The following is a 26,454-nucleotide window of genomic DNA, read 5'->3' on the forward strand; positions in this document are numbered from 1 at the left end:
TTGGCCTTGAGAGATAAGCGTTCGCTTTATCCTTGGAGAATAGGAGGGAATTGGGCCTAGACTCTGAGGTGAGAAAATGCCTGGAGCACTCAGTGGTGGGTGAACTGGCTTCTGTCTCAGAGAATGGTGAATAGCTAGGCAGACAGCCTGCCTCTGAAGACTGAGGCAGGTGGAATTCACCCTGTAAGTTGTGTTTCTGTTTTAATCTAACACTGCAACAAATTCCAGATGTTAAAAGTCACAGCCCCTTCTCAGCTGTTCTGTGAAAAATATGAGCACACGGAGTCCTCCCTATACCAAGGCCTATGAGGCCATCAGCAATAGTGTCTCTAGAAGAATAGCTATGGGCATTGCTCTGGATTAAACATGAGCCGACAGCCTGGAACACTGAAAAAGCTAGGAGAATGCTTAGGACTGATTTCTACTGGGGTTTAGAGCTGCAGTAATTACAATATAAATAAGCGTTACCTTATCTTGTATCAGAGACCACAGTGGCCATATATAAATAAGGATTCAAACATTCCAATATTGCACTTTCATACCATTTGTTAAATATTCTCACCAAAGAGAAGCTACAAAAGGGCCCGCTTTGCTGGTGCGCGACGGCGTGTTGCTGTTCCTCACTGCCTCTCGCGGCGTCCGTTCGCCCCTCGCCTTCCTCAGGTTCAGGCTGAGCGCCGCGTGGGCCGCAGCCAGAGGGGGCGTAGCGGAACGGGAGCGGGCGGTGGCCAGGCTGCCCCCACGAGAAATGCGGCAGCCTGGGGTTCCCCGCACGTGGCTGCTGCCCAGGCAGTTCAGCGGTCACTTTGAGACGGGACTGTGGCTGCCCCCATCCTCATTGCGTCCTTTCGGTTTTTTACCTCCACCATGTTGTAGTCTCACCGAAGGCTTGTGTCCATCTCTATAGTCACAATGCTGAAAATGGTGATAATGAAAAGATGGCTGCCCTGGAGGCCAAAATCTGTCATCAAATTGAGTATTATCTTGGAGACCTCAGGTTGCCACGGGACAAGTTTTTAAAGGAAAAGATAAAACTGGATGAAGGCTGGGTATCTTTGGAGATAATGATAAAATTCAACAGGTTGAACCGTCTAACAACAGACTTTAACGTAATTGTGGAAGCATTGAGCAAATCCAAGGCAGAAGTCATGGAAATCAGTGAAGATAAAACTAAAATCAGAAGGTCTCCAAGCAAATCCCTACCTGAAGTGACTGATGAGTATTAAAATGATGTAAAAAACAGATCTGTTTATATTAAAGGCTTCCCTACTGATGCAACTCTTGATGCATGAAAGAATGGTTAGAAGATAAAGGTCAAGTACTAAATATTCAGATGAGAAGAATATTGCATAAAGCATTTAAGGGATCAATTTTTGTTGTGTTTGGTAGCATTGAATCTGCTAAGAAGTTTGTAGAGACCCCTGGCCAGAAGTACAAAGACACAGACCTGCTAATACTTTTCAAGAACGATTGCTTTGCCAAAAAAAAAAAAAAAAATGAAGAAAGAAAACAAAATAAAGTGGAAGCTAAATTAAGAGCTAAACAAGAGCAAGAAGCAAAACAAAAGAAGAAGATGCTGAAATGAAATCTCTAGAAGAAAAGATTGGATGCTTGCTGAAATTTTTGGGTGATTTAGATGATCAGACCTGTAAAGAAGATTTACACATCCTCTTCTCAAATCATGGTGAAATAAAATGGATAGACTTCATCAGAGGAGCAAAAGAGGGGATAATTCTATTTAAAGAAAAAGCCAAGGAAACATTGGGTAAAGCCAAAGATGCAAATAATGGTAACCTACAATTAAGGAGCAAAGAAGTGACTTGGGAAGTACTAGAAGGAGAGCTGGAAAAAGAAGCACTTAAAAAAATAACAGAAGACCAACAAGAATCCCTAAACAAATGGAAGTCAAAAGGTTGCAGATTTAAAGGAAAAAGAAAGGGTAGTAAAGCTGCCCAGCCTGGGTCTGGTAAAGGAAAAGTACAATTTCAGGACAAGAAAACAAAGTTTGCTAGTGATGATGCACATGATGAAAATGGTTCAACTGGACCTATGAAAAAGAGGAAGAGAAGAAACAGACAAAGAATAACCTGCATCCAAACAACCGAAAACAGAAAATGGTGCTGGAGACCAGTAATTTAGTAAACCAATTTTTTATTCATTTTAAATAGGTTTCAAACTACTTTTGTTTGTGGGGGCTTTTAAAAGGAAAACCGAATTAGGTCCACTTCAATGTCCACCTGTGAGAAAGGAAAAGATTTTTGTTGTTTAACTTGTCTTTTTTTTGTTATCTAAATGAGAATTTTTTTGAATGTATAGTTCTGTTTGTGTTATTTCACATGAATCAAATATCAGAAGGAAGATTCTTCCACTAAATTGACTTTGTAATATGAGAATGTATTAGTACAAGCTAATAAAATATATACTACATGAAAAGAAAAAAACAATTCTCACCAAAAATAGAAACCTATCGAGGGAAGTTATTTGAATTAGTCTCATTTTACAGATGAAAAAAATGACTTGGAAAATGGAAATTACTTGTCAAACATGTACCACAAGTAAACAACAAAAAGAGCTTGAAACGCCCAAATTGCCAGCCATAAAGTCCATGTCCATGCTACAATAAAACAGCTATCTTTGTATTTTCCATGTGTCTCTGTATGCTTCCTTGCAGTCTTATTAAAATATTCCATGTTTTATTAATTTTCCTCACTCCTTTATTCTCCATGCTGTTACTTTGCATATCCAGGATGTCAGCTACCCTGCTGTCCTGCATCCAGGCACTTACTGGAACCAGGCCTCAGTTCTTGTTCTAACCTCTCTCCCAAAAGGAATCCAGAGGAATCAGGACTGCACATCAAGCCAAAGACTTTTCTTCACATTCTCATACAGGAGCAAAAAGAGGGGGCCTATATTGTATATTTCATAAGAAGAAATTAATAAATTCTTTTTTTTTTTTTGAGATAGTCTCACTTGGCCGTCCAGGCTGGAGCGCAGTGGCGTGATTACGGCCCACTGCAGCCTCAACCTCTGGGCTCCAGGGATCTTCCTGCTTCAGCCTCCCGAGTAGCTGGGACTACAGACACCCCCATGCCCAGCTAATTTTTGTATTTTTTGTAGAGACGGGGTCTTGCCATATTGCCCAGGCTGCTCTTGAATTCCTGGACTCATGTGATCCACGACTTCAGCCTCCCAAAGTGCTGAGATTTCAAGTGTGAGCCACTGCACCCAGCCCCAGAAATTCTTATTAGTTACTTTGGTTCCTCCCTCCATCTTCCAACTCCTTCCATTTTCTCTCAAAGTTTCAGCCCTGCTCATTCGTCCTCTTTCTAGAGTTCCCTTTTGGAAAGCAATTTTCTCTCTCTAAAAGCTCTCTTCCTAAAAGCTTAAAAGTGAAGCAAGTTAGGCCTGTGGAGGCTCAGTTTGAACTCCAGCACTGCCTTACTAAATCATCTCCTCCAGAAGAACAGAGAAGTTCTCTCTTCAAGGGGTCTCTCACCAACAGTTTTGAGAGCGAAATTTTCTTCCTAGAAGTGAATGGGAATTATCTCTCTGTGAAAAAATACCAATATGCTTGTAAAGAGAGAAAACAAGGAAAAGAGATGGAGTCAGGAGGTGCTTCTTTTGTGTCTGGAAGGTTGGCTGTGTTTTGTGGAGACTTGGAACAAGGTGAGGTTGGCAGCCCTCTCCAGAGACGAGCCTTTATCCCCAGTCATCCCTCGCTGGTTTCTCCAGAGGCCCATGTGGACAAGGAGGGGCCAGAGAAGGAAGTGGGGAGGGGAGGATTGCAGAGATAATCAATCAAATGTCTCTCCACAGATTACTCCTACAGGATGGGAGATGCAAGATATAAATAGCTTTTAAGGAATAGGTTGTGCTTCCCTCAGAAACGGATGCTCTATAAGCTTGAATATTTAGCATCTATCATATGATTTTTGTTCACTTTCTTATTATTTTTTCACGCATTTAAAAGCTAAAATTGTAATTAATTATGTAGGCAATTCTAGGGCCTCTCATTTAGTAAAAAGGCAACAATATAAACTTAAAATCTTTTTGAACTGTGCTAATGGGAACCACTGTCACCTTGTCCATGTTTGAGCCAAGTTCTTTAAAATAATAACTTTATTTTTTTTAAATAAAAGCAATATTTTTCAATGTAGAAAAATAAAGAATGCCAAAAGAATATATACTTTTAAAACTACTAATAATCTTACAATAAAGATAACTGATTGAAACAATTTTGATGCACTTCTGTAGGGGAGATGTAGAAACTTAAATAAAGAGAAAGAAACCTATTCTCCTGCAGGCTGACCTTGGTGACAGTGTCAAGAATCAAGTTAGAAAGCCATAAGAAAAAAGGTCATTGGACAGCTTCTTCTTCCTTCCTCTCTGAACATTCACTGGCTAGCATTCTTCTTTGCAAAGTTCTCAAGTAAGAGGCAAAGCCAGGTTTTAGGAGATCCGAAGCTTTGATTATCTGGACCCTCCTTATAAAAAAGAATGCAAAATTATTCATACGAAATCAGATACAATAGTCAATATTATTTAGAAAGAGAAAAATCACAACATATTGCATAATTTTAAAAGCTGACAAATATCATCTATGATACAAAATACAAGCAAAATGTGTATTTTTATTAATACTTCCTCACACATTTCTATAATACTTTTTCCTATTTTTTTGGCTATATACTTTTTGAGTATCTCCTCACATGACAAAAGTGTTATAACATTTTCTATAAAGAGAATAGGAAGATAAAATTCAGGCTCCTGGCATAGTTGGTAGAAAATTTTTATTAATAATAATTAAATTAGAAAAATGTATTTAAGTTTCATAGCTCATCACTAGTGCTATTGTGTAAATTTTTAAGGTTACTGTTTTCTTCTTTCATAAGCTGTAGGATTTGGACAAATTTCCAAAGACTAGCTTTTGAGTATGTGTATTTCAAGACCAAGTTTTTCATCATTACACACGTTTCCACTGTCTGATACTGTTGGGCGTGGTTATACAGTGACATGCCTCTGACTCGGATGTTGACATCCTTGAAACCTGACACCACCTAAATTGGAAAGGATAATAGAAAGTCATTCCTACATAGTGAAAGCTAGTAGTAATGACATAGGGATATCCATGGAAGAGACTGTGAACCACATAAATATATCATAGTACACTCAATTTCAATGCATCCTCAGCTTCCTTTTAGCCAGATCTCAAAAATGACTGCAATCACTCCAGTTACCATAGTGTACTTCCCATGAGAAAAGTATAAAGAAACTAAAGTGAAGAGAGAACTGTCTTAACTGATTTCATACAAAACACTGTACTTTTGGGAATGTTACAAAAGCAAATACTCACAGGCATTCCTAAGGCCGCTTACAAGGACTTGGAAGTAAGGGGTCAGTAGGAGGTCGTGAGAGGCCTCAAAGCTTGTGCTTCATTGGTTCCTGGTAAATCCGTCCCTGCCTAGACAGCTATGTTTTGTTTTACTAGACACTTATCCTCTGAAATTCCTCTCTCACCCACAACTGATAACTCTTCTTGGACATCAACAGAGCTGTGTGGCACAAAGCATCTACATAGTTTCATGAATATTAACCCAGCTGAGCAGGTCTTTTCATGCCAAAGACTATTTCAGTATTTTAGTGAATTGCACTAATAAATTCAATCATGGTTTTAAATGTTGATCATTTGTTTACATCATAAAAGCAAACAATAATAATAGTTAACTCACATATAATGATGTTCCCTGATGCTTATAGGATGTTTTTAACTTTTCAATGTACATTTCCGTAGAGCACTGTGGTTATTAACTAGATTCACTGTCACCAGTAAAAATCCAGACAGTTCATGTAAATATGGATTAGTAAAAAGACCCATCATCTCACTTATTTACATAGAACAAAACCTGCATTTACCTACAGTATGATGGTTTAATGTGTAAGCACACACAGCAGGAACTACAACGCCTCCCCATGTAAATATGGGCCATTCTGTATGTACAAACTACTTCTATAACAACATGAAGATTCAACAAATAGAATTGAAAACCATAGTGCACTATTTTATCTTTATAAATATGTCATTTAAGCACTTTAAAGTATTCTAAAGAGCATTGTTATTAGAGCGTTTTATTTCAAATAAAATATATACAAAAAATGAAAATGAGAATATAAACAGAAATGCACAAAATAGGCATGGCATTCTGCTTTTTGTTTAAGTGATAATTCATCTCAATAGATCAATAGCCTGTTACTCAAAAAAGAAAAAAAAAATGTCCAAATACCACTTGAAGGGTATTTGGGAACACTACATTATCTGTGTCAAACTGCTTATTGAACTTAAATCTGTGTTCTGAACTCACATTATATGACACAAAAAAGCTGTTTTTTTCTAAGCAAATAGTGGTCATGGTTGACTCTGGGAAAAATTGACTTGAAAAGCTATTCGATAAAAAACCAGTTTGATTCCTTTTTAAAGCAAAGACTTTCTTTGACTACACCAAAGAAAATGTTATGATCATATCTCATTCAACTAACACTAAATTAAAGTCTCACAAACTTATTTAACATTAAAATTAACCTTGAAAATAAGTAAATGTAGTTCTGACCAAAAGAGTTTTTCATTTATCATTGATAATTTTTAAAAAGGTAAAACCCATAGATTAAATAACCAAAGATCTTTTTATTACCATGCCCCAATATGTCAAAATTCCAGCTGTTTTAAAATTTAGCTATTACGACCTCCTTATACGTATATCATTTTTTTTTTCTTAGGACAAGGATCTTAATCTGGGTTCTGTAATTTATGAATCAACCTCAGATTCTATGAAGTCTCTGAAATTATAGCCATAATTTTCTTTGAAGAAAAATACTTTTAAAGGAAGGTAGTTCATAGTGTTCATCAGAATCTCAAATGGACTATGACCCACAAGGCCTCAGCACCTAATTGGCATCACTGTCAGCTGGAGTGCAAGAAAGCAAAAAACTAGAATCTGAGAAAGGCACGGGTGCCCCAGGAAACCATGCTTGAGTGTCTGTCTTCAAATGAATTTTTTATATTGGTAAGAGTTAACTTTATACATAATTTTATTTGTTTCACCCAAGGTAGATTTCCCTCTTCCTTCACTGGGAACCAGTCACCTATCACAGAAAATACTTGAATGAAGAAATAGAACTCTTTCACTTAGTGTTTCTGAAAAGTTACTAAAATCTAAGGCTACATATTTTTCTCTTAGTTTCAAATAATTTGTAATAAGAATTGCAATTTCTGTTCCAAGTAGATAAAAGGAACTCTCAGAATGGTTGGCTCATTTTTTAAACTTAACATAATAGGCTACTCTAAAATATGAGAAATAAGCACGCTTTTTGGTTCTTGTGGTGTGTGTGTGTCATTTGCTAGAGAGGAGCCTTCATACATATAGTCCATACTCATTTTTTCCACTTAACATTTCATCACTCTGTTACTCACTTTCTAAAAAGCTCTTAAAATTTGCTTGCCATTCCTTTTAGGCATATTAATTTTTCGTATCCACTGATATTTACCTTGTTAAAAACTGACAGTTGAAAAACGATCAATATATGCAGTCAGGATTTCACATTTTAAGATATGACTTATAGAAATTCATTTTAATGCAGAAAACCTTCTGTGTTGTGTTTTGATTTCCCTAAATTAGGAGGGTACTTCACTTCACATTTTCATTGTTGTTTTTGTTTTGCTTTATTTGCTATTCTTTTTTTTGTTCTGTTTTGTTTTTTTGTTTTTTTTTTTGACAGAGTCTTGCTCTGTCGCCCAGGCTGGAGTGCAGTGGTGATCTCTGCTTACTACAACCTCCACCTCCTGGGTTCAAGCAATTCTCCTGCCTCAGCCTCCCGAGTAGCTGGGGCTACAGGTGCATGCCACCACGCCTGGCAAATTTTTTGTATTTATAGTAGAGATGGGGTTTCACCATGTTAGCTACAATGGTCTCAATCTCCGGACCTTGTGATCCACCTGCCTCAGCCTCCCAAAGTGCTGAGATTACAGGAGTGGGCCATCGTGCCCAGCCTATTTGGTATTCTTAAATGTCTAAGACACTGTGTTCATTTTTTTCCCCATGGGATTGTATTTGGCTTCCAAGTAGTTTGGTATTTGATCCCGAGTTGTAATATATTTAGTTTCTTAAGAAAATAAAAATGTCTTCTATTGATATCACCATTATTATTATTTTTTGCAATTAAATTGTAATATCCAGAGTTCAGAATGCAAAGATAGAATAATCCTCTTGTTTATGAACAACGTAATAGCCCATTGGGTCTTCCAGGCCCTTCTGTGCTAGTAATATCATTGTTATCAAGTGGTTTTGTTCATCAGTTACTCACTTTCAGAGAAAGGTATAATTCATTTAAGATTTTAAAAAATCAGAGCTTTTTAAAAAAGTTATTGACTACATTGAAAGTTCTTAAAAATTAATCTCATAGGATACGGAAACATCTACAGAAAAATAATAGAAAGTCTTCGATATTTAATATTAATAGCAGTGATTTTGAGATTGTTTTTAAGTTTGAATGATAAATTTGCTTGTCATAAAATATATATACACTTCAACCAAGACGAAACTATTACAAAGTGAATTTATTGGGAGAAAAAATAGCATTTTTTTAATCAAGTTGAACAATATTGATTTTAATGTTGTAAAATTTTCCGAACTCTGCTATGTGAGAGGACTAATTAAAACCGCTTGAAATAGCTAAAGCATCTTATAATTTCTCTATAAGTTATTCATAAATCCACTGCCTGGAGCAAGTGGAAGATATACAGATGGCTTAATTCAGCAAGTTCCTAATGTGAGATGTTTCAAAAGCTCAGACAGAGAAGAATTTCTTATTAATGTACTTTCTTATTAATGAAGTCTACAGAAAAGCAAGAGTGTATTTGGAAATTTTTAAAAAATAGATTTGTAACATGTTTTGTTTTGCATATAAGATATTTTTCTCACTCCATTTCTATTCATACATATGTAGATGACTTCACTGCTCCTTCCAAGATTTTGATTTTATCATTATGACTGACCCTCAGCCTGGTTTTCATAACACTGGTACCAGAAGAGAGTCTTTCCTTGGAATCTAGAGTCTCAGCTTTGCAGTTCTACAGGAGAAATCCTTCCTTCACCCGTCATAACACACACACTATAGACAGACAGGCACCCTATATAAGAGGGGTGTGTGTGTGTGTGTGTGTGTGTGTGTGTGTGTGTGTGTGTATACATATATTTTTAATTCAAAATAAATTTAAAAAACTCTTCCATTATAAAAAGATTTGATTAAATGTACTCTTTTCACCTAGCTATTGTAAACTATCAATTTAAAGTGAGAGAAATTTTATGAAATCTATACATAATTCATGAAACCTTATTTTAGATACTAACTTTAATACATTTCCTTGCCCAGGGGACCAATAGTGCAAGGAGTAAAATTAATTGATCATATTTCATCTTCTTTTTTATCCTATTCTCTATAGAGATACTAACAAACAGTGAAATAAACATGAGATAACTGGATGAAGCACTGTTTATACCATCAGTCTACAATACTCTTTATCAGTGTAGCCCAGATAAGCAACTAGGAGCTGAAACCTTTGGCAGAGTACTTTACCAATTGTACCTCTCATATTCACCAGGTGATTTCCAATGTATTCTGAGCTCCATCTGAAGATGGTGTTTTAAAAGGTATTGCAACATTAAAAAGCAAAGCATAATAGCTGAATTAAAGAATTCCTATTAGAACTTCTTTTTACAAAAAATGTAACAAGTTTATCTTCCCCCAAATAAATATGCAGTGACATTTAGTTACACATAAAGAATTAAGTTTGCCTTTCTAATTTGGAAACTGTTAAAAGCATAAAGACCAGAAGAAGTAGTCAGGCATGGTGGCCATGCCTATAATCCCAGCGCTTTGATAAACTGAAGCAGAAGGATTGCTTGAGGCCAGGAGTTCAAGACCAGCGTGGGCAACATAATGAAATCCACCCCATCTCTAAAAAAAATTAAAAATAAAAAACAGGCAGCAGATATAAAGAGATGATTCACAAAAAAGAAAATTTCAGTGGATAATACATGTATCTAAAAAAATTCAACTACGTTTGCAATAAAAACACAAATGAAATTAAATTGAGTGTCATTTTCCCTATCAAATTCGAAAATGTCTTTGAAAGATTACACAAAATGCTGCTAGATGTACAGTAAAACAGAAATGCTCATATTCTGCTGATGGGATATAAACTGTTACAATTTCTCTTGAAACAATGGGGCAGTATATATCCTGAACTTAAAACACAGTTATGTACTCTGATTCACTCCTCCATCCCAGTCTAAGGAGATAATCAGAAATGCAGTCAAACACTTGTGTGCAAAGATATTCTATTTAATATTAAATAATCGAAAATTGGAAACAACTTGAATGTCTAACAAATTTAAAATATTAAACTAATTATTGTATAACTATATTATGAAATTGTACTTACCTATTGGAAATAAGGTTTTGGTAGAATATTTTACACCATGAGAAAGTGCTCACTCTATAATGGAAAGAGAAACAAGTTATGTCAATGAGTCGGTTGTCTATTAATATACGACATATATACATAGAACTCCTTTTATAGTAAATATGTATAGAATGATTATGACGATTGTTTTCTTTTTCAAAATAAAAACAATGTAAAAGTATTGAAAGTCTATGCACTGTAATTCTAAACCTAGATTTATTATTAATCTATATTTAATCCAAAAATATTTAGCAATTATAAGGCTTACATTCTTAGAACTATGATTAGCTTTGACTGAAATTTTTAGTTTTTATTGGGAATATTGACAGCTAGGAAAATAAAAAATGTGCTTTTAACCATGCCAAAATACTGAGAAGTTTTATTTATTTGTAATCTGTCAATTCTAGTGACTGGTAAGGAAACAGGAGGGAAAAGGGGAATCTGGTTGCACTCTAGAAAGCACTAAGAGATGCTGGCTCTGAGAGTCACAAAGGAAGCCAGATACAAGGGAGTAACTGTGGGCCAATAATGTCAGACGAGCTGCCAGGCTCTTGAGGGACAGAAGAAAATATTAGCTTGGGATAGGCAAGGCCTAAGCCACTAGTTGGTAGAGGAATATGCTCTAGAAAAGGAGACTTTAGACCGGAATGTTCTACTTGTCTCATATTCTTCATTTCCAACTGCTTCCTCTACCATTTTTTAAACATAGGCTTAATAAATACAATTTCAATTTGTAAAATTTGTATGATTTTACAAATTCGTAAAGACACCACTTTCAGATAAGATGCACAAGGGAAGCAAATATTCCCTCTGCTCTCCCTCCTTTAATTTGATAAAAGCCAAAGTTATAGCCAAGCATCTTATTTCCTCCATTATGATGCAAGTCTTGATTGCCTGCTTACAGTAGAAAGGGTTTCATTTTCAAGTAATGCTTTGCCTACTATTCTAGGTTCCTTTAGTCTGAGTTGACATTTAAAGAGAAATCTTTGCATAAGTGAAACTTCACGTACTTAAAAATTTGCCACGAGGGTAGATCTTAAGATTAAGTGCTCTAACCACAAAAAGAAACAAACAAAGGGAATGAGAGGAAATATTAGGAGGTGATGCGTAAGTAAGTTTATGGCATTGATAGTGATGATGGTTTTAAAGGTATATAGTTATCTCCAAACACTACAAGTTATATACATTAAATATCTACAACTTCTTATATGTCAATCATAAAGCAATTTTTTTAAAGCAGTCTTACTCTCAAGAGGTTAACGGTGGAAAAAAATAGCCGTGAATTGTTTTTCTTCCTTTTTAGTGCCAATATAAAACATGTTTTAGCTGTGCTGGCATACATAAAGGATAGAACCAGGTTTAGATGCTTATTTCCCAAGCTAGTGTGGTGCTAACCTTAATCCAAAATATGGTGATTGGTTGCACACTTTTTTAAAGTTATGGTGTGACCACGGGGATGGTATTTAAAATATTGATGACTATATCATTAATAAAAATAAATGAGAAAGAGATACAAGCCATAGACTTTGCTTTCACTTTTGTAGAGGAATCTGTGTAATAGAAACCATTGTTATATTGCACTATCTTTTTAACAAATATTGTTAAACTTTCTAGAAAGAGTCAGGGCACTCATAATTTCAGTGATATTTATTCAAATGATCACAGATAACCAAACAATCATGAATACATTATTATGCAAAGTTTATGGTGAATGGATAGATACTCTTTTTAATTGGAAGAGAGCTGCTATAGCAGAAGCACTTCAAGGAAATTCTCAAGATTTATACTCATTTTCCTCTATCTATTACCAGCAACCATAAAATGTTAGAAAAATCAGAATATATGTGTTTAAAACAAGCAACCTGCATCTAATCCAAATGAAAAAAATATCAGTCCCAGAAAGCTAGTCTTCATGTTTGAACGTCAATCAGAGTCTATTTCCTAGAATCTGTCTTGTATCACCAAGGGGCAGAATGGTAGGTACCAAGTACACATTTTTTGATGCACAACACACTAAAAGGTATTATGCATGTCATCTTGGAAGAAGAAACATTTCTACTCTATTCACTAGTTTTTAGATGTCACAGTCATAAATATATACTAGCTTGAAATTTTCAATTCACAAGAAATATGTCTCTTAGAAATGCTGCTATTTGTATGCGGATACTTTTTGAGAAAATGATCAATTTATACACAGTACTGTGAACATAACCTGATTAATTTCCCTCTGATTTAACACAGAAGGCCTACTTGACCAAATCTGTATGAAAATCAAGGAACGGTGGTACCACTTTTTCTCCACTTGTGGATGGACGGATCATCATATGAACTAAAAGTTCCATATATTGCCACTTCTACTCATCAGTTCTGAAATGTCACCAGAGTTGGGCATGGAGCTTTTCATTTTCTACAAAGGTTTTCTCGAGACAGCATCAGTTAGATTTGAGACAAGGAAAAACACACTTTGATTAAGGTTTTGGGATTTCTCAAAGACAAAGAACAGAAGTCGATCTCATATTTTGCACAGTCCAAATTATCATACTAAAGCTAAAGAAGATAAACGGTGTTGATGTTTTAACTCATTGCTGATTGGTTTCTAGCTGCTACAAATCTTTCATTCTGAGAATATCTCAGGCCAGGTGCGGTGGCTCACGCCTGTAATCCCAGCCCTTTGGAAGCCTGAGGCGGGAGGATCATGAGGTCAGCAGTTCGAGACCAGCCTGAACAACATGATGAAACCTCGTCTTTACTAAAACTACAAAAAAAAAAAAAAATTAGCTGGTCGCGGTGGCGGGCGCCTGTAATCCCAGCGACTTGGGAGGCTGAGGCAGGAGAATTGCTTGAAACCAGAAGTCAGAGGTTGCAGTGAGCCAAGATTGTGCCACTGCACTCTAGCCTGGGCAATAAGAGCAAAACTCCATCTCAAAAAAAAAAAAAAAAAGAAAGAAAGAAATCTCCATGAGAGGACCAGAAATGGCAGCAGACATACATTTCTTCAACAAATTGCTGTATGTTTCTCTTATTATTTTGAGTCTGGAGTGTCTCCTGAAGAAATACAAAGGTAAAGGTCGATCTTATGTTGGAATATGGCCACTTTGTATATGGAATGGATATTGAAAAATAGATATTGAAAATAAGCTCTGAAAAAGGGACGGATAACTATAAAAATACTTAAACACTGTATGTTTATTCAAACTTCTTGAAGCAATTTGTTTTTCAAATTGGGCTAAGTAATAGCAACCCTTCATGATTTTTAAAATGATTGATTGTTCTTAGGTGTGATCTGAACCATGATTTGAAGTTGTATTCTTTTTCTATTTCAAAATATGAGATGGCTCAATTATGGAGGAAATGTGACTTAACATATCTAAAAAGTATTCATTTGTGTATATGCAGATCAAAACATTTCTGCTTCTGTCATGTACTTTCTGATTAAATTTACATAAGTTACCTAACATCTTGACTAGTTTTCTATCTCTGCAACAGAGATAACTCTTCTTTCTACAAATAACAGAAAATTCAACAGAAAATTTAAATAAACTCTCTGTAGTCATTATTTTAGTAGAAAATATATTATTTAATTCTACCCTATTTGGTTATTTTCTTATAATGTCGCAATTTGTATGTATAATGTATAACGTATACATTTATATATTATGCTGTTACCATATATTCTGCTATCAGTCACTTTTTGTGATTACATGCATGCTGTCATGGCATGTCATACATCTGGAGGTGGGCTACAGTCTATTTCAGGTTGGAGGTGTAATAGAATAGAAAGCACGTTGTACTTTTATTAGTACAGCATTCTAAATACTTTTTTCTGATTCTTTGGACTAAAGCTTTCTACTTTTGTCTGCTTCTTTTATGTTACTTGGAATTTACTCAGTTGCAATAATTTTTTTTTTAATTTAAATGCTCCTCCCCCAAATTTGCCTCTGTTCTATCATCTTAGGTAAATATCTGTCCTCTTCGATTAGCTCATAGCAACTAATTTATATTTTGCGTCTTTGTGTGACTTTCAAAAGTATTGCATTCTTAATTTTTTCTTGGATTAAGCGGTCCAAAGGAATAATAAAGATGAATTTTTGAAACTAAGCTTTTCTCTACACCATCATTCACTAATTGCCTGAAATCCAAATTATAATTTGCACGTCATAGGGCCTCTAAAGTTGAATTTCAGTAGACATTATGCTATCAGCTGGGTTGGAAGGAGTTGAGAATGGGGAATTTTTGAAACTAAGCTTTTCTCTACACCATCATTCACTAATTGCCTGAAATCCAAATTATAATTTGCACGTCATAGGGCCTCTAAAGTTGAATTTCAGTAGACATTATGCTATCAGCTGGGTTGGAAGGAGTTGAGAATGGGGAATTTTTGAAACTAAGCTTTTCTCTACACCATCATTCACTAATTGCCTGAAATCCAAATTATAATTTGCACGTCATAGGGCCTCTAAAGTTGAATTTCAGTAGACATTATGCTATCAGCTGGGTTGGAAGGAGTTGAGAATGGGGAATTTTTGAAACTAAGCTTTTCTCTACACCATCATTCACTAATTGCCTGAAATCCAAATTATAATTTGCACGTCATAGGGCCTCTAAAGTTGAATTTCAGTAGACATTATGCTATCAGCTGGGTTGGAAGGAGTTGAGAATGGGGAATTTTTGAAACTAAGCTTTTCTCTACACCATCATTCACTAATTGCCTGAAATCCAAATTATAATTTGCACGTCATAGGGCCTCTAAAGTTGAATTTCAGTAGACATTATGCTATCAGCTGGGTTGGAAGGAGTTGAGAATGGGGAATTTTTGAAACTAAGCTTTTCTCTACACCATCATTCACTAATTGCCTAAAATCCAAATTATAATTTGCACGTCATAGGGCCTCTAAAGTTGAATTTCAGTAGACATTATGCTATCAGCTGGGTTGGAAGGAGTTGAGAATGGGATTGACTCATAAGGAGATAGATCCGATAAATCACTAAATCACGAAATCCTCTTTTTTACCTCTCCTAGGTGAGACATAGCTCATGAAAAGGTATCTCCACTGATTCAAGGTTTTAGCAGATGACTCTGAAAATGCTGACAATATCAAAACTAAATTTTCATGTTTTTCTTCTACACATTTGTTTTGCCTAGAAGGAAATGTAACCCCAGAAAATTAAAGTGGCCTATACAAGTTCAGCCACTATTGACTGATATAATCTTGAATAAGTTACTTAACCTTTAAGATTCCAACATAGCTTTCTCTATTAAATAGGAATAGTTATGGTGTAATAGAACTCCATTCCATCTAGCATTAAAATTTGTATGAGTCCTAGAAGTTATATAGTCCATGTAAAGTTCTATAGTTCATATGAGTCCTGTAAGTTCATATGAATTTTGTTGTATCTCATTTTCCACACACTATTCATTCAACAATATTTATTGAACATCTACTATTAGGTTTTATTTGCTCTTTGGTGCCTTAGTTCCATAGCATCTAGGTGCAGTCTGATATGCTAACAATACAAGGTCAATATTTTATAGTTTCATCAGTTTATGAATAATCTCCTAGACAATGTATTAAATTTATGTTTTTCCTATTTCTGTATATAGGGAAGGAAAAGATTGAAGCCATTAAACAGTGATTTTTTTCCATTGATTTTACATTTTTAAAACTATTTTGATGGAGCAAAGTATTTCAATCTAACATACAATAGCATTTTAGTCAACATTGTGGGCTCTGGATAGAGTCACATCACCTGTATTCAAATTTGTATTTGCACTCTCCTTCAGCTTCATTCTGTGTACTTCATTATGTTCTGCATATCGGATAATATTGTAATTTTGTGGTAAGAATTAAAAGATAGTAGTGTGTAGAATAATTTCTTGAACATTTTAAGAATAAAACTACTTTTCTAATATTACAGCAAATAAACTGATAAATTATTGTCAAATCAAAATGTAATTATCAAGTATCCATAATTTTTATAATTTAATTTATACACCTCCTTTTTTTTCAGAGACTAACTTCATGAGTGCAATTTAACATATCTCTAAGAAGTATCCATTTGTGTATATGGAGATCAAAACATTTCTGCTTCTGTCATGTATTTTCTGATTAAATTTAGGTAAGTTACCTAACATCTCAAGACTAGTTTCCTATCTCTGCAACAGAGATAACTCTTTTTTCTACAAATAACAGAAAATTCAAAAAATTAAGTGAAATAATTTGGGGAATAATTTTGGCAGCTTGGAATATGAGCCTGATGATCACTGTATTTGGATTTTTCATCCACCTGATACTTAATGTTGTTATTCTAGAAACTTGGGAAGAGAAGTCAGGGATTAAATTTTACAAGTCTGTCTTTGAGATTGAAATCCATAGAGACAACCTATTAGAATACTGAAATAAACTCAAATAAAAGTAAGACTACACTGATCCTTTAGAAAAATGAAGATATGTTCACGGCCTTCAAAATGCAGTTTCTCCAGTGCCTGGCGTCTGATCTCAGCAAGGAGAGAGTAAACCAATGTGTGACCAGGGTGTCTTTTTAAACCATATAAACTCCTCCATTTATTTCCTGTGACCACATAATAACAACAAAACAGAATGTAAGTGAAATTTTGGGTTAGTTCTTTACAGAAGGCTAAAAAATATTTTGAGTGTTTTTCAAGGAATTAAACGAATCCAGCAGATTAATTTGGACCAATAAAGGATTGAGTCTTTAAAGCCAATTCTCTCTGCAAAACTTCAATAGCAAAGCCAGCGTAGCGGAAAAATTGCAAACAAAAGTATTTTCAACTGAAAATATGAAAACAGATTCAGTCTCCTTTAAGTGACCTATAAAGTACTTAGCCTCATCACTGGCATGTAGAACAAGTCAATGTACTTGTTTAAAATTTTTAAATACTTGTGCAGTTATAACCAATAAGAACCAAACAAGCAGCTCTCTAGCATGGGAAACACCAGGTCATAATATCAATATTTAAAGTATATTCCAATTTGCCAACTAATTTATAAACATTATCCCATCGTCTTAGAATCAGAAAACTCTGTTACCACATTTTTCAAAGAAAATACAAGAAACCCTCTACTGGAAGTATGCCAATTCTCAAGTATCATGTGACCATTTAGAAGAATACATATTGATTGGAAGGTGACTAAGCTGAAATTTAGTTTAGTGAATTATAAATATTCAGTGCCCCTGATAGATATTATGTTTCTTTAAAAAGAAATATGTTATTTTCATAAAACTTTCAAACATTGCTTAATTTGAAAACCATCTATCTTCATTTGGCCACTGCCTTTCCCAAATCTCTAACAAGACTATGAATTAGTAACTTCAAGACAGTACAACTCACCATTAAATTTCCTATATCTGAGAAAGAGCTCTTCATTAAAACTCTGCTTCCAAAATGAGATTCAATCATGGCAAATGCAAAACAGTCCACATATGACAGGAAAATCACAAATGCAAATACAAACTAACTAAATTGTAGCTTACTGTCAATTATACTTTTAGAATAGTTATTGGAAAAGTCAAGCTTTTTCTTCAATTAAATGATGTATATAGGGAGCCAAATGAGAGCCTGAATCCAGGATTTCAGAATGAAACAAGTTCTAGATAAATTCAAATCTCATTGCAGAATCATTTAGCCAACAGCCCATATGGCCAGCTGCACCTTTATGAATGTGACAAAGGCAGAGTGGTTTGAAACAGCTCAGCAAAAAAAAAATATAAAGCCCTTGGACATTCAATGAGGATAAATTATAGCTTATAAATTATGTATTTATCTAAGAAGTGAAATTCAAAAAGAATTGCTTAAAAGTTATATTCATACCATATATGCATTCTGAGGTAGCTGTTGTAAGAAAGTGCAATTTTAACAATGAAATGTTTCTTGTAAAGTATTATTTTCAGAGAAATTAATCTTAATTAAATCAATATGTGTGGAGGGGGTTTGATTGGTTTTTTTTTTTTTGGTTTTTTGCTTTGGCTAAGAAGAGTTTCCGTATATTTGACTACCTTTTATTGCCCTAGTTTGCCCTGGAAATTTGAAAGAAAAGACCATAGAAAAGGAATACCCAAATGCTGGCTATTATGGTGAAGATATTTGCAATATAAAAGAATTCTTATTGTTGCACTAGAATAAGAAGTATTGGGGCATATTAAAATATCATTTTCATAATGGCTTGTAACAGTATAGACAAAAAGCAAGGGACATCTGTCATGAAAAAGATTACCCCAATAGTCAGTATACATTTCAAGATTTTTAGTCACATTACATCATTATTAATAATTTGGCATGTATATATCATCTGGATGGTTATTTATATGCATTGTTTCCCCTCATTTGCTCAAGTGTCTTTAACTCAGCAAGTTTATTTAATGAAACACATTCATAATAAAACATTAACGGAAACAGAATTTTTGAAAAACGGAAAACTGAGATTGATTGAACTTTTATTTTAACTAAGAAGCAGAATTCCGTATAGGTCTACAGTATTTGAAAACTCAGTAGATCCTTTTAAATGTAAACACTTAATATATATAACTAATCTCAGAGAGGTAACTTAGGACATTAAGTTATAAACTATGCAGATCGCACTTATTTTTCATTCACCTCATAGTCATGATACTGGTCTAGGGCTTGGATTGGAGCCGAAGTTTCTTCACCTGTATCTAGAAGCGGGAATGCCTTCAGGAGGCTAGAGGGCAAGACAAATACTATTTGCTGGGCAAAGTCAGGGTTTATTAAGAAGAAAAGCCAAGACAAAAAACCACAGGCAAAATTGCTATGTAGGACATAAAACTAGAATTTTAGAAGAGATATGGATAGGACCAATATTGCTGCATTTTGGACAGCAGTGATGTGTAGAAGATGGGTGGGGAAGTAATGAAGCTGGCAGGAGAAAGTGACAGGTGGCATCGACATTTGCTTTCAATAGCTAGTGGATGTACATTTCATGGAAGACCCTGAGGGGATCTCTAAAAGCCATGATTGGTGTAAACAGTGGGTAGTAAGTCCAGTTCTTTCATTTTTGAAATTTTCCATACTATCACAATCTTATATTTAGCCTTTTTTTGAAAATATTTCTATATAGAATGGTTATTTTCTTGCTGTGGTAAGCACAATATGAGGACAGATATTTAATAATATTAATAGCTAACATTTTTTGAGTGGTTAGTATCACCCAACCAGGAACTTAGCACTTTGAGCACCATATCTTATTCTACAAAGTAGTGGTCTATTTACATTTTACTTCTGATGTAACTGAAGTTCAGCAAGGTTGTATTATTACCTGCTTGTAATCATAATAGAGGGATGATGCTCACTTTAACATGATAATTATGCCCTCTGCTGGTAGTTAATAGCTTTTACATCATCTACTTTTTGAAATGATGCTTGTAAACAAGAGCCCAGGACGATGTCATCATGTGAATTAATTATGCACTACTTTTATAACTCTGGTTTGCTATTCATAAGGTCAACATTGTATCAAGAAGGCCATGAAAACAGGATATATTTCAGGGGAAGGAAGATTTTTATTAAAAAGTTATATTCCAGGAACTGATTTTCAAGTCTGGAAAGGAAATTGCCTTTAGTAGGGATAGGATATGGGGAGGGGAAATTTTATTAAAGTGTCTTGAAATTATTATAAGTCAAACAGTGTGCCGGGGAAAGAGCTATCTTTGAGACTGGATATTTGTGGCAGTAATAGGAAATAAGTATCTGTCTTCAGGATGCAGCATTTAGCATTAGGAAAAAATAAAAGACAAAAACAAAACATCAATAACCAAAGCAAAACATACTTGCAATCAGATTTTTTTTTTTCAAAATTGAGCAAGAGTGAGAATGGAATGGTGCCAAGGGAGCAATTTTTCTCAGGATGTAATTGGAAGACCTAGCCATCATTCATATCTTCAGATTTGCATTGCTCCAGTTTCATCTGAAGAGCACCAGATTCAAAAAGTAGTCTCTGATTTTCTTCCTTAGAGGAAAAGCTAGTGTAAGGCTCTACCCATGATACAGAAGCTGGCAGAAGTTGAGACTTCTCGGTGCTGTATGTTCCCATTTGCAAGATCATCTGGAGGAAGTATTCAGGACCATCTACAAGGAAAAGCTAAGACTTGTCTTACTTAGAAAACATGGCCTTGTCTTTTTCAGCTATTCTTCATATTATCATGATGTCAGCAGAATTCTTCACAGGGATCACAGTAAATGGATTTCTTATCATTGTTAACTGTAATGAATTGATCAAACATAGAAAGCTAATGCCAATTCAAATCCTCTTAATGTGCATAGGGATGTCTAGATTTGGTCTGCAGATGGTGTTAATGGTACAAAGTTTTTTCTCTGTGTTCTTTCCACTCCTTTACGTCAAAATAATTTATGGTGCAGCAATGATGTTCCTTTGGATGTTTTTTAGCTCTATCAGCCTATGGTTTGCCACTTGCCTTTCTGTATTTTACTGCCTCAAGATTTCAGGCTTCACTCAGTCCTGTTTTCTTTGGTTGAAATTCAGGATCCCAAAGTTAATACCTTGGCTGCTTCTGGGAAGCGTTCTGGCCTCTGTGAGCATTGCATCTGTGTGTCGAGGTAGATTACGCTAAAAATGTGGAAGAGGATGCCCTCAGAAACACCACACTAAAAAAGAGTAAAACAAAGATAAAGAAAATTAGTGAAGTGCTTCTTGTCAACTTGGCATTAATATTTCCTCTAGCCATATTTGTGATGTGCACTTCTATGTTACTCATCTCTCTTTACAAGCACACTCATCGGATGCAACATGGATCTCATGGCTTTAGAAATGCCAACACAGAAGCCCATATAAATGCATTAAAAACAGTGATAACATTCTTTTGCTTCTTTATTTCTTATTTTGCTGCCTTCATGACAAATATGACATTTAGTTTACCTTACAGAAGTCACCAGTTCTTTATGCTGAAGGACATAATGGCAGCATATCCCTCTGGCCACTCGGTTATAATAATCTTGAGTAATTCTAAGTTCCAACAATCATTTAGAAGAATTCTCTGCCTCAAAAAGAAACTATGAAGAAGAAGAACAATGTGAACTATTTCTTTCCTTGATTTAGATTCAATGGACTTACTTGGGTTTTGTATGCTGACTCACCCTCTCTCTGGTAATTTTCTGCCAGTGTCTGACCCCCAGGACAAGTGAGGCACTAATTTTGATGTTGGATGGGTGGGATATGTCTTTTTTTCACGACTTATATGCTTAAAACTACTGCGATGGTAATACATTTAAGTAACAATACTTGCACTGGAGTATAGTTACATTTTAGAAATAAAAAAAATACTAAGACTTCATTTGGCTGACCAAGGTAGTTCTTTTAATCTCTCTACCCAAGTCATTGGGAAGCACCTGCTTTAAACAAGAAAAAGTATCTTGATTTAGTTCAAGAATTGAAACAATAAAATAATTTGGCTTTAAGGACATTTAAGTATTTTTCAAAGAGATTCAAATTTTATGTTGAAACTGTCTGTCATAGCAATGTCCCCAGCAATACTGGTTATGGTCTTACATTGCTTTTGATTTCAGATTGGTAGATCATAAGATGCAAATTGAGTTGGCATGCATATGCATACATAAACACAATCCAAAGTCTCAATTTTTTTACAAAACAGAAATATTTTTCAACTCTCAGGAGTACTAAACTCACTCCCAGAAAGAATGTTGAGGAGGTTGCTGACAGCCAAATCCCAGTGAACAAATGTTCAACAACAGGTATCTTAACTTCTTTCCAACTAAGAATTTTGTCTGGAGTATGACAGCATCAAATGCCTTGAAGTCAAAAGTAAAACAGGTCTCTGTTTACTCTTGAAAGCTCTTGCTAGATGTGAACTGATTCTGCTCTTTAAGGATCTTGAATAGTCTTACTTTAGGAAAGAAAAATGTGTTTTGCAGTATCTGACATCACTTAGGATATCTGTTTAAATCTACAAAATCCACACTGGTGCGGTGGCTCATGCCTATAATCCCAGCACTTTGGGAGGCCGAGGTGGGTGGATAACTTGAGCCCAGGAGTTTGAAACCAGCCTGGGTCACATGGCAAAAAACCATCTCTACAAAAAACACAAAAACTAGCCAGACATGGTGGCACATGCCTGTAATCCCAGCTACTTGGGGACTGAGGTGAGAGAATTGCTTGATCCCAGGAGGTTGGAGTGAGCCGAGATTGTGCTATTGCACTCTAGCCTGGGCGGCAGAGCAAGACCCTGTCAAATAAGTAAGTAAATAAATCTATAAAATCCTTATTGGCTTTTGAAGATAAAGGATATGTAGTGTTTTAATTGTAAATAAATTGCTATTAAAGTAGATTAAAAGTTGCTGGGATGAGGAAAAAAACTAAATATGTGTAGGAATGTGTGCAATGATTTGCTAACAGATAAAATAAAATTTAGAATCTGTATTAGCAATTCCCTGACTATACTCTGAGGGAGAGGTTCTCAAAGTTGACCAGACATCAGAATCCCCTGGAAGGCTTGTGAAAACACTGATTGCTGGGCCCTACCTCCAAAATTTCTGACTCAGCAGGTTTGAGATAGGGCCTAAGGATTACCATTTCTTATGAGTTTCCAATGATACTCATGCTCTTGGTCTGGGGCCACACTTTGAGAACCGATTTAGTCACTGTACTACAGAGATTAAGAACCTGGCCTCAGGCCAAACTGGATGGGTTTGCCTCCTGACCCAGCTGCTTATTAGATGTATAATCTTGGGCAAGCTGTTAGACTATCTTTCTACATTTCTTCATCTGTAAAATGAGATAATAAAAGTAACTACTCCCAAAGATTGCTGTGAGATTTTGCTGGCAAGTATAAAATACCTAGAACAGTGCCTGGTCCACAGCAAAGATCAGTTAAGACCAAATATTGTTCTATGTCAAGAAAAATGTTCAATTGCCACTATCAGGAAGGCACGAAGATTATTTCTTAAACTTTCCTAGTGTTTGAAATTGGACAAATAAAACTGAAATTCTACATTAGTACTTGAGAAAAAGAGGTGCAGTCTACTTCAGTTTAGAATGGTAAATAGGGTTAGTATTGGATGAGTCATAAAAGAGAATAAATGAGCATTTTGGAATGCTGTAAAAGGCAACAGGCTAAATAAGGTAGTGAAACAGGAATTATAAACCACTGGAGGATGACAAATAGACTATAAGCATCTTAGGGTGGGAGTGGAGGAAGGGACCAAGAGGCTGAAAGGTGAGGTAAAAGTGAGGAGAGAAGGCAATATTGACCATTTTGCCTGGGTCCTTTGGAAAAGCTGCTGATGGTGGGATCCACACTGGTCTCAGCTGTGGTGCACTGTGGTGTACATGGTGCATGATGGATGCTTGACCTGGTAAGTAAATATGGAACAAGATAATTCCTTCTCTGAAGTATCACTCCCACTTAGTCAAGGGAGCATATTTTAATCTCTGTGACTTGAACATAGATAATTGAAGAAGGAGGTGTCTAACCATAATAAATTTAAGAGGCTCCTTAGAAAAAAGGGAGAGAAAAAACACAAATTAACAAGCAAGCTCTGAACATCAGAAGTGCTGACACAGACAACCTCAGACTTGACAAGCAGCCAAATTTATTATAGGCACAATATGATAGCATCGTACATTATTAGGTGTATTTTACTCATGCATAGCCCTACTTTGTAAACAAATCACTGTGAATTGACCTCTATTTCCCTACAGCAATAACTGATCATCTGTTTAGAAATACATATTCTAGAATTTATTGAGGTTCTGTGGTGCAATAAGCATGACTGTCCTAAAATGACATTGAGAGCTCACCTTTGGCTGCCTCATCACTGAGAAAATTAGAATTTGGGGCTGCTACCTCCTCCTAGTGGTAAGGCTGCTTTCAAACTCAACCTACCACTGAACTGTTAGCCCTTTCCCTTGAAAAAGAGGAATGCAACTTCACACAGGTCCCCAAAGTCACCAGGTACCGATAGACAACTTTTCCCAAACAACACCTCCACGCACAGTTGACATCCAAACTCAGTAAAGATGGTGCCCAGATAACCTGTTAGTCAGTCTGTTCTGCCCGTCTTCTCCCATTGATAAAATTGCTCTCAGGCTTGCTCTGTGGTAAAGGAGAATGTCAAGAGGAGGAATTCTTACCACCCAAAATGTTCACCCACCATGTGTCCAACAGAGTGTCCTGGGCCTGGTCATTCATCCGGGGGATATTAAAAGGATTAGACCACACAAACACACTCATTTTTTTTCCTCATCTTACGCTGTAAATTTGTTACTCATGAAAGTCTATTCCCTATCCCACACTGTGTGACATGTCAGATGGTGGCCACAAAGTGGCTGTTTTGCACAGCTCTTTCAAGGATTAAATTCAGGCATGTCTAATCTCCAATGTCCAGTCTTAAAGCACCTCACCTTCCCAATAGGTTTCCAAAGGGTGCCAGCTCATTTCCCACTGCCAGTCGTCTTATTGTGCTGATATGTAATTAATATGGCTTTATGAACCTGAATTTATGTAAATATGTTATTTTACTATCCTCTCACCTTTCTTAAGCTTCAATTCTTACCTAGTTGTGTTGGTTATTTCCAGTTTGGAAATCCCCTTTGAAAGAGAAAGAGACAAAATAGGAGTTAGACTGTTTAGCTACATTATGGCATTAGTTGATATTACTTATTTTTTCCAAGTAAAGAAAGTCTCTTGTTTTTATTTTCTTTTTCGGAACACTATTTAAAGCCTATTTTACTTCTTTTTTAACTTATAGAATATTTCAAGTTGCAATTATCTGTTCTATGAAAAAATTATTACCACAGTAAATTTTAAGTTATTCCATTTATACAAACATATGTAATTCAAATAACTTACTTAAAAGCGTTCATGTTCCTTAATGCCTAGAAATACAGAAATCAGAGTGTTGAGGTTTTCATTTGCCACAACTTGTTGCGTTCCCAAATTTGTGGAGCTGAGAAACTCAAAAAAAATTTTTTTTTTTTTTGAGACGGAGTCTCACTCTTTCGCCCAAGCCAGACTGCAGTGGCGTGATCTCGGCTCACTGCAAGCTCTGCCTCCCGGGTTCACGCCATTCTCTTGCCTCAGCCTCCAGAGTAGGTGCAACTACAGGTGCCCGCCACCACACCTGGCTAATTTTTTGTATTTTTAGTAGAGACGGGGTTTCACCGTGTTAGCCAGGATGGTCTCGATCTCCTGACCTCGTGATCCGCCGCCCTCGGCCTCCCAAAGTGCTGGGAATACAGGCGTGAGCCACCTCGTCTGGCTGAGAAACTCAAAATTTCTAACTCTAAATTTCTAATTTGGAAATTCAGAAATATACATTCAGAATTACCTACCTGAGAGGAGACTTTTGGATGGTTCTACATATAATTGAAGTCAGTTGGCCACAAAATAATGTTTACATATTAGAAAATTCCAAGAATGCATTCATGAGAGCATTAAAGAAAATTCCAGAATGTTGCTTATGCTGTTCGTCCATCCAAACTCCTTTCCCTTCTTCTCCCCTTTTATTAAGTACTCTACTGTCATCAAGGGTTAGTAATGATCTCAGATGCTCTAAGAAATCTTTGGAGACATTCTCAAGCTTCAGAGACCTTCCTCTCACTAATTTCTCATGAGAGTAACCGTCAGGACAAATCACTTGGCATTTAGCACCTTATCTCGTGATGTATTCTTATAGGTTTGTATCTTTTCTAGCCAATTACTTATAATTTACTTGAAATCTGGAGTCATAATCTATTTTTGTACCCTAAACAACTAATAACAGTGAACTAAACATAAGTAGGTATTTGTATATATGCTTTTGATAAAGAACCATATGTATCTCTATGCAAAAAACAATGAGGCATAAATCAGATAGCATAAAGATAGGTTAATTCTATTTCCAAAACTATAAGAGATTTAGTCAATTCAACTTTACTGCCGTTTTCATT

The 26,454-nt window shown here is 35.6% G+C and overlaps 1 protein-coding gene, 1 long non-coding RNA gene and 2 pseudogenes across 6 annotated transcripts in view, besides 1 other annotated feature; 3 read left to right on the top strand and 1 right to left on the bottom strand.

Moving 5' to 3' along the window:
* On the top strand, window positions 904-2,388 carry SSBL5P (small RNA binding exonuclease protection factor La like 5, pseudogene; annotated as a pseudogene).
* A 1,824-nt stretch (window positions 2,389-4,212) lies between these two features.
* On the bottom strand, window positions 4,213-26,073 carry LOC105375156 (uncharacterized). Of its 3 annotated transcripts, XR_001745093.2 has the most exons (8): window positions 25,858-26,073; window positions 25,376-25,401; window positions 25,080-25,114; window positions 23,776-23,876; window positions 21,427-21,560; window positions 21,051-21,155; window positions 10,496-10,549; window positions 4,213-4,484 (listed from the first exon to the last, which is right to left on the bottom strand). It is a non-coding gene; the product is annotated as an uncharacterized LOC105375156 (long non-coding RNA). The 3 variants fall into 3 exon arrangements; XR_927037.3 differs by lacking the exons at window positions 4,213-4,484; window positions 10,496-10,549 and having other exon boundaries at window positions 20,034-21,155; XR_927039.3 differs by lacking the exons at window positions 4,213-4,484; window positions 10,496-10,549; window positions 21,427-21,560 and having other exon boundaries at window positions 20,034-21,155.
* Window positions 12,906-26,454, top strand: part of C7orf78 (chromosome 7 open reading frame 78) — a 58,845-nt gene continuing 45,296 nt past the window's right edge. The window contains exons 1-2 of one of the 3 annotated variants that reach the window (NM_001386512.1): window positions 12,906-13,577; window positions 16,526-16,633. The gene's annotated coding sequence lies outside the window, so the exon portion shown is untranslated. Of the gene's footprint in view, window positions 13,578-16,525; window positions 16,634-25,990; window positions 26,202-26,454 lie in introns of those variants that run through there. The other 2 variants (NR_136261.1, XM_047419720.1) reach the window with 2 other exon arrangements.
* TAS2R2 (taste 2 receptor member 2 (gene/pseudogene)) lies at window positions 20,657-21,566 on the top strand (annotated as a pseudogene).
* Window positions 23,005-23,299: a silencer, noted in NCBI's record as "tiled region #5173; HepG2 Repressive non-DNase unmatched - State 23:Low, and K562 Repressive DNase matched - State 8:EnhW". NCBI's record gives its function as "represses a minimal TATA promoter and a strong SV40 promoter by Sharpr-MPRA in HepG2 and K562 cells {active_cell/tissue: HepG2 | K562}" and the evidence as "EXISTENCE:reporter gene assay evidence [ECO:0000049][PMID:27701403]".

The sequence above is a fragment of the Homo sapiens genome, chromosome 7 (genome assembly GCF_000001405.40).
Source record: "Homo sapiens chromosome 7, GRCh38.p14 Primary Assembly".
Lineage (NCBI taxonomy): Eukaryota > Metazoa > Chordata > Mammalia > Primates > Hominidae > Homo > Homo sapiens.